Consider the following 13,251-nt stretch of genomic DNA (forward strand, 5'->3'; position numbering starts at 1 on the left):
GCGTATTGTGAGACCCTCTGCTGAGTTCTGGAGGTGGTTGTCGGTTGCTGATTACCAGGGCAACCCTTGGGATTATGGCTGTGGTGAGGTGGTTGTTAAGAGGGCGTCACTGAGCCTAATGTAATCCTAACCCTTTCACAGCCCAATCTTATTTGGAAGAGGGCTTAGGTGCACGCTCTAGCGGGGATTCCAATATTGGGCCAATTCCCCCAATGTTGGAATCCTCGCTAGAGCGTGCACTTCTGGAAGCTAGGAACCTCCTAACTCAGGACGTAGACTGATGATTGATTACAGTTTCAATTCTTCGGAAGATCTTTCTTTTAAAGAGAAAATCTTACTTCCTGTCAATTCCACTCGAGGCCCCATAATTCATGAATTCTTCCAGAGAACTCAATTGTGTTACTTTGGGGAAAAAATATCATGGCAGTCTTTAGTGGGGTTTTAGAATCTGCCCTCTTTCTTGACCAGAACACGCTGCAAGCACGTCAAGGTAGTCGGAGTCCCCTAACAATGGATAAATTCGTCATTCGAACGCCTAGAATCCAGAATAGCCCTCAGAAGAAAGATTCTGGAGGAAAGGTTTACAAGCAGGCCACGATTGAATCTCTGAAGGTGAGAGGGGATCTGGGGCTAGAGGAAATGTGCAAAGGACTGATAGCAAGGTGGTGCTAGAGGTTCTGTTGTGGAAAGACCTATGAATTATTTCTTGTTATGCCTCCTCCTCAAAGTGTACCTGACCACTCCTCCTTTGTTTCGCCCATAGCTGTACAGACTTACATTTATAAATTTCTGCACACCCCTGCTACACCCTTGTAATTACTCCGGTTTACACCATGTGTGCTAGCTCGTAGGACAAGTCCCCTTCGTTGTTATTCTTTTGCAAAATGTAGTCTGTTAGGAATGTTAAAGTACCAAATATGATTCTATATACCTACCCTGTACAAACTTATTAAGGGGTGGGCTTTGATGCTGTTCTCTCACATCTGTCACACTGCCCAGAACTGTATCAAACAGCTTTACAGCTTCAGCTGAGACTGGGAAAGAGGCTGTTTTTTTGTTGTCGTTGTTGTTGTTTTTGTTTTTCAGACAGGGTCTCACTCTGTCACCCAGACTGCAGTACAGTGGCACGATCTTGACTCACTGCAACCTCCACCTCCCGGCTTCATATGATCCTCCTGCCTCAGCCTCCCAAGTAGCTGGGATTACAGATGCCTGGCTATTTTTTGTTTTTAGTAGAGATGGGGTTTCACCATGTTGGCCAGGCTGGTCTTGAACTCCTGACCTCAAAATGATCCACCCGCCTCTTGTCTCCCAAAGTGCTGAGATTACAGGCATGAGCCACTGTGCCCAGCTGGAAAGAGGCTGTTTTAATGAGCTCTTGCTACATTGAAGTCAGTCTGATGTCTGCAAGCAAGATGCAAAGAGTAGATACAATGTATCAATCAACATAGTTACCCAATAAATGCTAAAGTAATTATTTTACTAAAACAAAACAAAACAACTTGTACTTAGTCCCCTTTGTCATCCTGAACCTTGCCTCTTAAATTTCTGACTTTTTCATTTTCTTTTACCAATTCTTCTTCCTCCACTAGGTTCCTAATGTTTGTTCTCCTCAGAGTTCTGTCACATTTTATGTATTTGGCCAGGATGACATTATCCATTCTTTAGGCTTTCTGTGCTAAAACTGCCAAACCTGCACCTCCAGCCTAGGTTTCAGAAGGTGGGAGGAGGATCTGGGGCTAGAGAAAATGTGCAAAGGATTGTAAGAGCAAGGCAGCATTCTGAGTACTTGACATATACTCAATTGGACTCCTTTTCTGGATGTCCCACAGGCTTAGGAGACCCATATTGGAAAGCAGTGAAGGAGAGTATAAACAGGCCTTACTGGTAACTGGGTGATCTTTAGTAGCAAGTCAGTCCCTTCTCTAAGACCTCAGTTTCCTCATCTATAAAACGTGGAGATTGAACTATATCAGTGTTTCTTCAAGGGGTGCTATTGTTGTATGGGGCAAGATAATTCTTCATTATTTGGAGCTGCTGGTGGTTTACAGGATACTTAGCATCCCTGGCTCTCAGGCACTTAATGCCAATGGCACCTCCCATTCTGATAACTGAAAATGCCTTCTCATTTTTCCAGACAGCACTTGATTGAGCCCTACCAAACTCTAGATGATCTTTAAAGTCTGTCCTAGTCTTGCAGTTCTGTGACTGCATAGAACACATTCAAGGTTTTCAACTGTCTCTACCTTGTCAGAATATTCATGGATAATTGTACATAGCAATGATTCTCAATGAGGGATCATGTCAGACTCTCTCCAGGAAAAAGGTGGGAAGGAATAGTTGAACTACATATACACTCACCTACACCTACAAACACCCATATTCTTTTCTTTTCTTTTCTTTTCTTTTTTTTTGAGACGGAGTTTTGCACTGTCGCCCCGGCTGGAGGGCAATGGTGGGATCTTGGCTCACTGCAACCTCTGCCTCCCTGCAACCTCTGCCTCCCTGGTTCATGCGAGTCTCCTGCCTCAGCCTCCCGAGTGGTGGGGATTACAGGTGCCCGCCACCACGCCTGGCTAATTTTTTGTATTTTTAGTAGAGATGGGGTTTCACTATGTTGGCCAGGCTGGTCTCGAACTCCTGACCTCATGATCTGCCCACCTCGGCCTCCCAAAGTGCTGGGATTACAGGCGTGAGCCACGGCACCTGGCCCAAACACCCATATTCTAATATACCTCCTCCTACCGCTCTCCCCTCTGGGTTCCTGCTCGTGCCCTAGTTGAAAATCACTATGTGTGATGATGAAAATAAATGATGTGAAAATTATGGAATAAGAATAAAACAACAGGCTGGACTCAGTGGCTCATGCCTGTAATCCTAGCACATTGGGAGGCCAAGGCAGATGGATCACCTGAGCCCAGGAGTCCGAGATCAGCCTGGGCAGCTTGGCAAAACCCCATCTCTACAAAAAATACAAAAGTTAGCTGGGTATGGTGGGGAGCGCCTGTAGTCACAGCTACTTGGGAGGCTGAGCTGGGAGGATTGCTTGAACCTGGGAGCTGGAGGTTGCAGTGAGCCAGGATGGTACCACTGCACTGCAACCTGGGTGACAAAGTGAGACACCATTTAAAAAAAAAAAAAGAATAAAACAAAAGGCATATTTAATAACATTCCCCTTAAATGCATTAGCTTTTCTTCCAAACCTCTTCCTTGTTCTCCTGTATTAATGTATATCCGTATACCAAGTAACTGGGACTAGAAATCTAGGAACCATCCTTAACTCTTTTTTCTCATATCCAATTTTCTTTTTTCTTTGTTTTTTTTTTTTTTTTAGGGTCTCGCTCTGTCACCCAGGCTGGAATGCAGTGATGTGATCATGGGACTATGATCACATCATAGCTGGGACTATAGGCACATGCCACCACACCTGGCTAATTTTTTTTTTTTTTTTTTTTTTTTGTAGAGACAGGATTTCATCATGTTGTCCAGTCTGGTCTTGAACTTCTGGGCTCAAGCTATCTGCCCTCCTTGGCCTCCTGAAGTGCTGGGATTACAGGCATGAGCCACTACGCCTGGCCCCAATTTTTAGTTTTACTTCCTAAAAATCCTTCTTGCCCATACTCACTTGATTGTCTTCCACTTTAAGTTCAGAATCATACTTCTCATCTAGAGCAGTGCTATGGTCTGTTGACTTGTCTCCCTGCCTTTGACATCCCGCATTCACCTCCCTTCCACTCTTACACCAGAGAAATATGTCTCAAATAGAAAAGAAAATCTACTCAGGTCACTTTCCTGCCTAATCCTTCAATAATTTCTCATTACCCATCAATAAAGATCACAGTTTTTTACATGACACCCAAGGCCTTCCATGACCTGGCGCCTGCCTGCCTCATCCCCTGCTAGTCTTTTTATTTATGCCTCATCCAATGTCAACCATTCACAATTCCCCAAAGATGTTGTGCTCTTTCCTTCCTCTGTGCCTTTGCATATACTGTCCTGTTTGCCTGGAATTCCCTTACTATCTTGTCTTGGAGGCAATATAATGCAATAATTAAGAACATAGACTCTGGAGCCAGACTGCCTTACTAAAATCCCAGCTCTGCTACTTACTACCTTCGTGACCTTGGTCAAGTTATTTAGCCTCTCTGTGTCCATCTTAATCTATAAAATGGGGATTAATAATACCTGTTTTATAAGGTATTATGAAATTTGAGTGAGTCAACATATGTAAAGTGTTTGGTACAGAGTCTGGCCAATACTAAGTACTTTGTAAGTCTTTGCTATTATTGTTATTATCATTACTTTATAAAATCCTATTCATCTCCCATGACCTAGTTCAAATCCTCTACTATTGGGCCCTTCCTGACCACCCTTTTGTCCCTGAGACGCAGAGCCAATCTAATCACTCCCTTCTCTGAGCCATCCCTGTATATTAAACATGTCTGTATCATTGCACTTATTTGTGCTGTATCATGGTTGTTTCTTTACATGCCTGTGCCCCGCTATACTCTGAGCTTCTTGAAAGACTATGTCTCATTGATTTTGTGTCACTGGTTCCTGGCACAGGACTTGGCCTATAGTAGGCTGCAGTACATTTTTCTGAATGACCAAATGAAGTAAAATAAAAGGCTTGGCATGGCACGTGAGACCTGTTCTACCCCAGTGCGCTTATCGTCTCATACCTTGTAGCCCCTGCTTTATATGTACGCATTCCAGCCACACCTTATTTCTTGCTGTTCTTTGTTTGTTTGCTTGTTTGTTTGACATGAAGTCTCACTCTGTTGCCCAAGCTGGAGTGCAGTGGCGAGATTTTGGCTCACTGCAACCTCCACCTCCTGGGTTGAAGCGATTCTCCTGCCTCAGCCTCCCAAGTAGCTAAGACTACAGGCACACGCCACCATGCCCAGCTAATTTTTGTATTTTTAGTAGAGACGGGGTTTCACTATTTTGGCCAGGCTGGTCTTGAACTCCTGACCTCGTGATCCTCCCGCCTCGGCCTCCCAAAGTGCTAGGATTACAGGCGTGAGCCACTGTGCCCAGCCTCTTGCTGTTCTTTGTATAAGCTCTTCCCTTCCATGCCTTCAGGGCTTCCTTGAACTTGATGCTTGTCCCTTTTCCTTGAAAGCCCTTCTGTTTCTTTTTACAGAGTCAATTTCTACCCATTTGTCAACCCACTCAAGAACTACTTTGCCTATAAATCTTAGATTATAAACTCCATGAGTACAGGACCTTGAGTTTTCTTTTTTTTTTTTTTTTTCAACTCAGAGTCTTGCTCTATCACCCAGGCTAGAGTGCAGTGGCATGATCTCAGCTTACTGCAGCCTCTGCCTCCTGAGTTCAAGCGATTCTCCTGCCTCAGCCTCCCAAGTAGCTGGGATTACAGGTGCCTGCCACCACACCGAACTAATTTTTGTATTTTTAGTAGAGATGGAGTTTCACCATTTGGCCACCCTGGCCTTGAACTCTTGACCTCAGGTGATCCACCTGCCTTGGCCTCCCAAAGTGCTGGGATTACAGGCGTAAGCCACCACACTCTGTCAGGATCTTGAGTATTTTATTTACTTCTCTGCCCTTGGACGTAGCACAGTGCCTGACACATATTAAGTGGTCAATAAATATTTGTCAAATAAATGAATGTTGAAATGCTTTCTGGGTTCTCTAAGGGAGTTAATCCTTCCCTCATTAGTACTCTCAACGTTTGGTTCAAATATCTGTGGAAGCATTTACTTTACTGTATTGTAATTGTCTGATTACCTGTAGCTTTCTCCAATCCACTATGAATTCCTGAGACCCGGGACTGTAATATCTTATTATGTTCTGATCTGCTCCAAAACCTAACACAGTGCCTGCTACACTGTAGGTAAAATGTATTGAATAAACAGTAATCATCTGTATTCTGGCATGCCGTTGTAGGGTTTTGATAGTAAAGTATTCTACAAATGTTGTGAAACAGCTTATGCCCAGCACAATGCTAAGTACTATAGAGAACATGAGAGAAACTTAAGATCAAAATACAAACCCTCATGAAACTTCCTGAAAAGTGATCAAATTATAAGAAGTTAATAAATAATGAAGCCAGGTGTGGTGGCTCATGCCTATAATCCCAGCACTTGGAAGGCCAAGACAGGAAGACCACTTGAGCCCAGGAGTTTGAGACCAAACTACATGGTGAGGCTACATGGTGAGGCCTCATCTTTACCAAAAAAAATTAGCAGCCAGGCGCAGTGGCTCACACCTGTAATCCCAGCACTTTGGGAGGCTGAGGCGGGTGGATCATGAGGTCAGGAGTTTGAGACCAGCCTGGCCAATATGGTGAAACCCTGTCTCTACTAAAAATAAAAAATTAGCTGGGCGTGGTCGCGCGCGCCTGTAGTCCCAGCTGCTTGGGAGGCTGAAGCAGAAGAATTGCTTGAACCTGGGAGGCGGAGGTTGCAGTGAGCTGAGATTGCGCCACTGCGCTCCAAGCTGGGCGACAGAGCGAGACTCCATCTCAAAAAAAAAAAAAAATTAGCCGGGCGTGGTGGCATGCGCCTATGGTCCTAGCCACTAGGGAGGCTGAGGTAGGAGGATTGCTTGAGCTCAGGAGGTTGAGGCTGTAGTGAGCTATGATCATACCACTGTACTCCAGCCTGGGCAACAGAGCAAGACCCTGTCTCAAAAATAAAATAAAATAATGAGGAAAAATTATATGTGATCCATTACAGAATTGTCATATAGACAATAAGGGCTAAGAGGTAAGAGAAGAGGCCTGGCGTGGTGGCTCACACCTGTAATCTCAGCATTTTGGGAGGCTGAGGTGGGCAGATCACCTGAGGTCAGGAGTTTGAGACCAGCCTGGCCAACATGGTGAAACCTCATCTCTACTAAAAATACAAAAATTAGCCGGGTGTGGTGGTGGGCGCCTGTAATCCTAGCTACTCGTGATTACAGGAGGCTGGGGAAGGAGAATCACTTGGACCCGGAAGGCAGAGGTTGCAGTGAGCCGAGATCATGCCACTGCACTCCAGCCTGGGTGACAGAGCGAGACTCTGTCTCAAACAAAAAAAAAAAGAGGTAAGAGAAGAGAGAGCTTAGTCCCTGTTTTAGTGCCCAAAGAAGGCTATGTGGCAGGGCACCATAAAGGGACAGGAGGATTTGACTAGGTCTGATATACTCTAGGGAAGTAGTGACATATAACCATTCAATGAGTGGTATGTGCTCTTCTGTTTCCTCTATGTATGCATGATGCTTGGTGTGTTCACAATGGCAAATTAAAAAGAAATTGAGTTAAATGTGAATGTTAGAATCAGCTAGGTCCACTTTCTGCCAAGTGACTTCCAAACATGAGCATTATGTTTTAATGCCAAGAACCTACTAAATGTTTAAGCCTCAGTTTCCTCATCAGTAACATCAGAAATAACAGTACCCCATCTGCATGATTATTATGAGAGTGAAATAAATAAATTCATATTGAAAGGGCTAACCATTGTGCCTGGTATGTAGTAAAAACCAATAGTTTCCTCTTTTCATGTATGGAAAAGGAGGGGCTTGTATAGTAAAACCAAAGCTGAGGAGGAGGAGGATGATAGTAGTAATAAGGATTACTACTAACATTTATTGAGTCCATTTTTATGGTCCAGGCATTGTGCTAACTAATGCTTTACATATATTAACTCTTTAAATCTTAATAATAGCTTTGTGATATGTATGCTTTTATCATTTATATTTTACAGATGAAAAACTAAGGCACAGAGAGATTAAGTAGCTTGCTTGAAGTCATGTAGCCATTAGTGGCAAAGTTGGGATTTGAACTAGATAATCTGGGTTCATAGTCTGTCCCCTATAGATAGGGTGAGCTGGAAAAAAAAAAAAGTGGAAGTTTCTGAATGCCAAACTGAAGAGGTATAAAAATCTTGGAATATTAGGACCATTGTACTTCTGTTATCAGTATATATTACAAGTAATTTTGCCATAGGTGTATCACATTCTATAAAAGTGATTCTCAATAGAGCTCATGTAATGTCCATTTAAGTGGTAAAGGTTAATTTGGTTAATCTCTTTTTACTCCCTTAAGAGGAAGTGATTTCTTCTGTTGGTTGCAATAAGAGAATTTTTTAAATTAAAAGGTCCTAGAGTATACTCATTCTTTTAGGTTCATCACTTCAGAAGGTTCTATGAACCTTTCCTGCCTTTGTAGGATCAACTAGCCAATATGTTGCCTCCTGCCCCCACCAGTGGAATGGTGCCCACGTAACTGCTTATGAGTGAATCATTTTCCCTAATTGGTTTTGTCAAACCTGACATTTCAGCAATCCACAACTGTAAAACCAGATGGTATATTGGAAAGCACATCTTCTTTCTGGCAATAACTATTCTACTCCTCATTGTAGTGTCCTTATTGATATTTTGTGTCCATTTCTCTTGTTCCTCCAAATAATTTGAGCAATCTATTTTCTGGCCCATAGTTAGAGATTGAGACATTTCTTGATATATATGGAATTCTTTTGCTCTTGAATAGACTGATGTTTTTCCTATTCCTGACCTAAAATTTCATATCTGAAAACTGTACTGTACTTAGTCCTTGAAGGTAGAAATAGTTTTGTTCAGTTACACCTACTGTGCACTGGGGATAGTGAGATAAATGAGAAATGGTTCCAGCCCTTAAGGGAAAGACAGCCTTGTCGATGGTAAGTATTTGCAGAAAGCATAGATGCAATAATAGGAGTCTATACAAGTTGCAGAGGGACGCAAAGTGGAGTATGGTAAAATGTGGTAAAGGAGAGGCAAGAAAGGCTTCATAGAAGACATGATGCTTGAAGAGAGTCTTAAAAAATGAATAAGTATTTATCAGGTAAATGAGGTAAAGAAAGAACATCCCAGGCAAAGGTATGAAATTCAAAAGGAAGCTGTAAATAGTTTGGCGTATCTGGAGCAAATGATGAGACTGAAAAGAATGTCAGGAGCCAAGTCATGGAAGGCCTTTTATGCCATGCTAAAGAGTTTGGACTTCTTTAGTTCCATATGTTGATATTATCTGATGTGGAACTCTTAACCTGATTCCAGCCATGCAGAAATGCTGGATTAAAAGTCTCCAATACAGAGCTGAGCTTGAAAGCAAGAAAGGGAAATCCTTAGGTGCCAGGAAGAGAGAGGAAAGCAAAATCAGAGCTGTAAATGGGAGCTGAAGCTAAATAGTTCCAGGGAACATTGAATCCAGATATAATGCTTAGGGGCTGGGATTTTAAGGCCAGTATGGATGGGAGATAAGACCTCGGGCTAATGTGATGTGGGGAGCTAGAATTGATCTCCTATGTGAAGCTGGAAGCCGAAACAGGACTACCATATGTTTGTGAGAAATGAGCTAGAAAAATTCCATCCACTGGTCCAGGGAAGCAGATTGTTACCTTCTCAGGGTCTTAGATGGAAAAAGAGTGGACAATAATAATAAATTAGAACCACACTCTTATTACCATGCATGAATATGTGTACAGTCATCTCTCAGTATCTGTAGGGGATTGGTTCCAGGACCCCCACTACAGGTGCCAAAATCCACTAATGCTCATGTCTGTTATATGGAGTGGTGTGCTATTTGCCTATACTCTATATAGATCTTCTTGTATAGTCTAAATCATTTCTAGATTACTATACAGGTTGAGCATCCTAATCTGAAATCAGAATGTCACAAAATCCAACACTTTTGAGTGCCAACATGGTACCCAAAGGAAATGCTCATGAGAACATTTTGGACTTTGAATTTTTGGATTAGGGATGCTCAACCAGTACGTATAATGCAAATATCGAAAAATCCCAAATCCCAAATCCCAAACATTTCTGGCCCCAACCGTTTTGGATAAGGGATACTCAATCTGTAATACCTAATACAATGTAAATGCTTTGTAAGTAGTTTTTATACTGTATTGTTAATGGAATAGTGACAAGGAAAAAAGTCTCTATGTGTTCAGTACAGATGCAGCCATCTATTTTTTTAAAAATACTTTTGACCTATGGTTGGTTGAATCCACAGATGTGAAACCTGCCAATCCAGAAGGCTAGCTGTAGTTAAATTCACTCTATTTTCAAAACTGAAAAAAATTAATATAAAAACTGGCCTAGAACTGAGAAAATTCAAATCTTGGCAAAGGCAAATGTGAGATTTCTCTATTAAGACACTTCATATTCTAGAATGCAGAGGACTTTCATAGAACAGAATCCCCTGTAAGGATAAACTAATGGTCAGAAATTACAAAGTCTATAAGAAAATAAATTAGCAAGGGAGAGAATGAACAGACAGATGTAAGTAATAGAATTTCTACTCCAAGAAGTAGAGATAAGAAAACAATCTCAAAGAGACCTTAAATATGTTTAAAATGTTTGTTATTGGTGGAGGGTGTCCAGGTTCTTGGCGTTTTGAACAAAGAATTGGACAGAATGCGTAAAGCAACAAATGGAGCAACGAAAGCATAGATTTACTGAAGTAAGTACACTCCATAGAGTGTGAGCTGGCTCAAGCAGCCTCAAGAGTGCAGGTTACAGAATTTTCTGGGGTTTGAATAGTTTGAATACCCTCTAGAGGCTTCCCGTTGGTTACTTGGCTTACACCCTAAGTAAATGAAGTAGTGGCCTGCAACCAGTATGATTGGTTGTGGAAGGTGACTAATCAGAGGCTGAAGTGAAGTTACAAAGTTACACCCTATGCAAATGTTTGATTGGTTCCAGGAGGCTGAAATGAAGTTACAAAATTACACCCCTGTGCAAATAAAGACTAGGCAAGCGACCGGTTTTGTTGGTTGTGCATTTTTCCTTTTTTTTTTTTTTTTTTTTTTTGGGGGACGGAGTCTCACTGTGTCACCTAGGCTGGAGTGCAGTGGTGCGATCTCGGCTCACTGCACCCTCCACCTCCCAGGTTCAAATGATTCTTGTGCCTCAGCCTCCCAAGTAGCTGGGATGACAGACATGTGCCACCATGCCCAGGTAATTTTTGTATTTTTAGTAGAGATGGGGTTTTGCCATGTCGGCCAGGCTGGTCTCGAACTCCTGACCTCAAGTGATCCGCCTGCTTTGGCCTCCCATAGTGCCGGGATTACAGGTGTGAGCCACTGTGCCCGGCTGGGGTTTTCCTTTTGATTTAGTTCTAGGAAGTCAGTGCGAATCAGCCTTAGGTTCCCTGCCTCCAGACCTCATGTTCACAGAGATAAAGGAATGGAAACCATAAGATAAGAACAGAATAGTATGAAAAGAGAACAGGTAAGTTTGGAGAAGAAGAAAAACAGAACTTGTCCAATGAAAAAATATCATTATTGAAGCAGAAACACATCAAACAGGTTAAACATAGGCAAGCCATAGCTAAAAAGAGAAATATTTAGGATTTCTAAAGAAGTAACTTAGTATGTATCATACAGAAATGAAGAGACAGAAATATGAAAGAGAAAAGTACATAAGGGATAGGCAGAGAAGCCATGGAATTGGGGTTTCTGAAGTAGAGGCTTGTGAGGAGAATACTGGTATCAATTTCTGTTAGTATACATCTTAAACATTGTAAGGGTAGGTTGAGCATGGTGGCTCACACCTGTAATCCCAGCACTTGGGGAGGCCAAGGCAGAAAGATCACTTGAGCCCAGGAGTTCAAGACCAGCCTGGGCAACATAGTGAGACCCCACATCTACAAAAAAAATTTAAAAATCAGCAGAGTGTGGTGGCCCACCTGTGGTCCCAGCTACTTGGGAGACTGAGGTGGGAGGACCACTTGAGCCCAGGAGATCGAGGCTGCAGTGTGATCTCACCACTGCACTCCAGCCTGGGCAACAGAGCATGACTCTGTCTCAAAAATATATATATATATAAGGGTAAACACTCAAATCATAGAAATATAATAAGTAACTTCCAAACCATAGAGGGAAAAAAAAGGGGCTGGGCACAGTGGCTCACACTTGTAATCCATGTGCTTTCAGAGGCTGAGGTGAGGGGATCAGTTGAGGCCAGGAGTTTGACTGGGCAACAGAGTGAGACCCCATGTCTACAAAAAATACAAAAATTAGCCAGGTGTGGTGATGCATGCCTGCAGTCCCAGCTACTCGGGAAGCTGAAGCAGAAGAATTGCTTGAACAGGTTGGGGGAGAGGGGGGCGGAGGTTGCAGTGAGCCGAGATTGTGCCATTGCACTCCAGCCTGGGCGACAGAACAAGACTTCTTCTCAGAAACAACAACAACAAAAATTAGCCAGGCGTGGTGGCATGCGCCTGTACTCCCAGCTACTCGGGAAGCTGGCAGGAGGATTGCTTGAGCCCTGGAGTTGAAGGCTACAGTGAGCTATGATTGTTACCACTGCACCCAGCCTGTGCAACAGAGTGAGACCCCATCTATAAAAAACAAAAAAAGGAAAAAGGAAAAAAATAGATTAAAGAAAACTGTTAAAAAGAAGATACGAAAGAAGAAAAAAAGAAGAGAAAATATGTTCAAATATATCAGTAATCATAATAAACACAAATGGATTAAACATGCCTATTAAAAGATAGAGATTCTCAGATTGGAATAGGAGGCAGGGAGCAAAATAAAGCAGCCACAGGCTATGTAAAGTGTAATGACCCAGAGAAGTTGAAAGTAAAGAGATGAAGACAATATACAAAAAACTGTCATAGACAGGAGTTCATTGAAACAATGTTTGTAACATGTAAAATATGGGGAAAGAAACTGCCTAATAGGGGAATAGTTTTAAAATTCTAAGACATTTGTGTATAAAAATAATGGAATACTATCCAATATTATTAAAACAGATCAACCAACCGGGATTATATGTTTCAGTTTGGATAAATCAATAAAATACATTGGTAAAAAAGGCATGATATTTGCACTTTCTTCCTATTCAAAATTTCCCTTTGGCTTTATTGATTTATTTTTCATACAGTTTAACACTAATATCATTTTATATTGTAACAGATCATAGAAAAAGACTGTCTCAGTTTTTACTAATACCCCTAAAGACCGAGAACAAAGCAGTAGGTATCAAGTGATATTTCCCAATGAGATTCTGGACCATCTATACAGAAGGCAATACCTGAAGACCAGTTTTGGGATCCTGAACCCATCACCCACCATAAGCCATAAAGTAGGTTGAAGTTAAAGGAAGAGGGGAGAGAGAATTCCTTTGGATGAAGCAAGAGTGCCACGATATTTTTTCACTTGGAGAACTTGACTTTAGTTCCTGGGGTTGGTGGACAGAGATCAGTCTCTGCCTAGGAAAGTCTAAAGACAGAGAGTGGCTGACTGATGTCAAAAG

At 42.1% G+C, this 13,251-nt stretch overlaps 1 protein-coding gene and 1 non-coding gene across 3 annotated transcripts in view; both read left to right on the top strand.

Annotated features, from left to right (window-relative positions):
- TCEANC2 (transcription elongation factor A N-terminal and central domain containing 2) overlaps positions 1-13,251 on the top strand; it is a 58,913-nt gene that overhangs the window by 305 nt on the left and 45,357 nt on the right. For both annotated transcript variants that reach the window (NR_130900.2, NM_153035.3), the window contains exon 2: positions 469-612. Coding sequence is in view for 1 of the 2 variants with exons in the window: in NM_153035.3 (NP_694580.1) it covers positions 511-612 (102 nt within the window). In the remaining variant the exon portion in view is untranslated. The remainder of the gene's footprint in view (positions 1-468; positions 613-13,251) is intronic.
- Positions 167-242, top strand: MIR4781 (microRNA 4781). Its single transcript, NR_039942.1, has one exon. It is a non-coding gene; the product is annotated as a microRNA 4781 (primary transcript).

This window comes from Homo sapiens, chromosome 1, assembly GCF_000001405.40.
Source record: "Homo sapiens chromosome 1, GRCh38.p14 Primary Assembly".
In the NCBI taxonomy this organism is placed as follows: domain Eukaryota; kingdom Metazoa; phylum Chordata; class Mammalia; order Primates; family Hominidae; genus Homo; species Homo sapiens.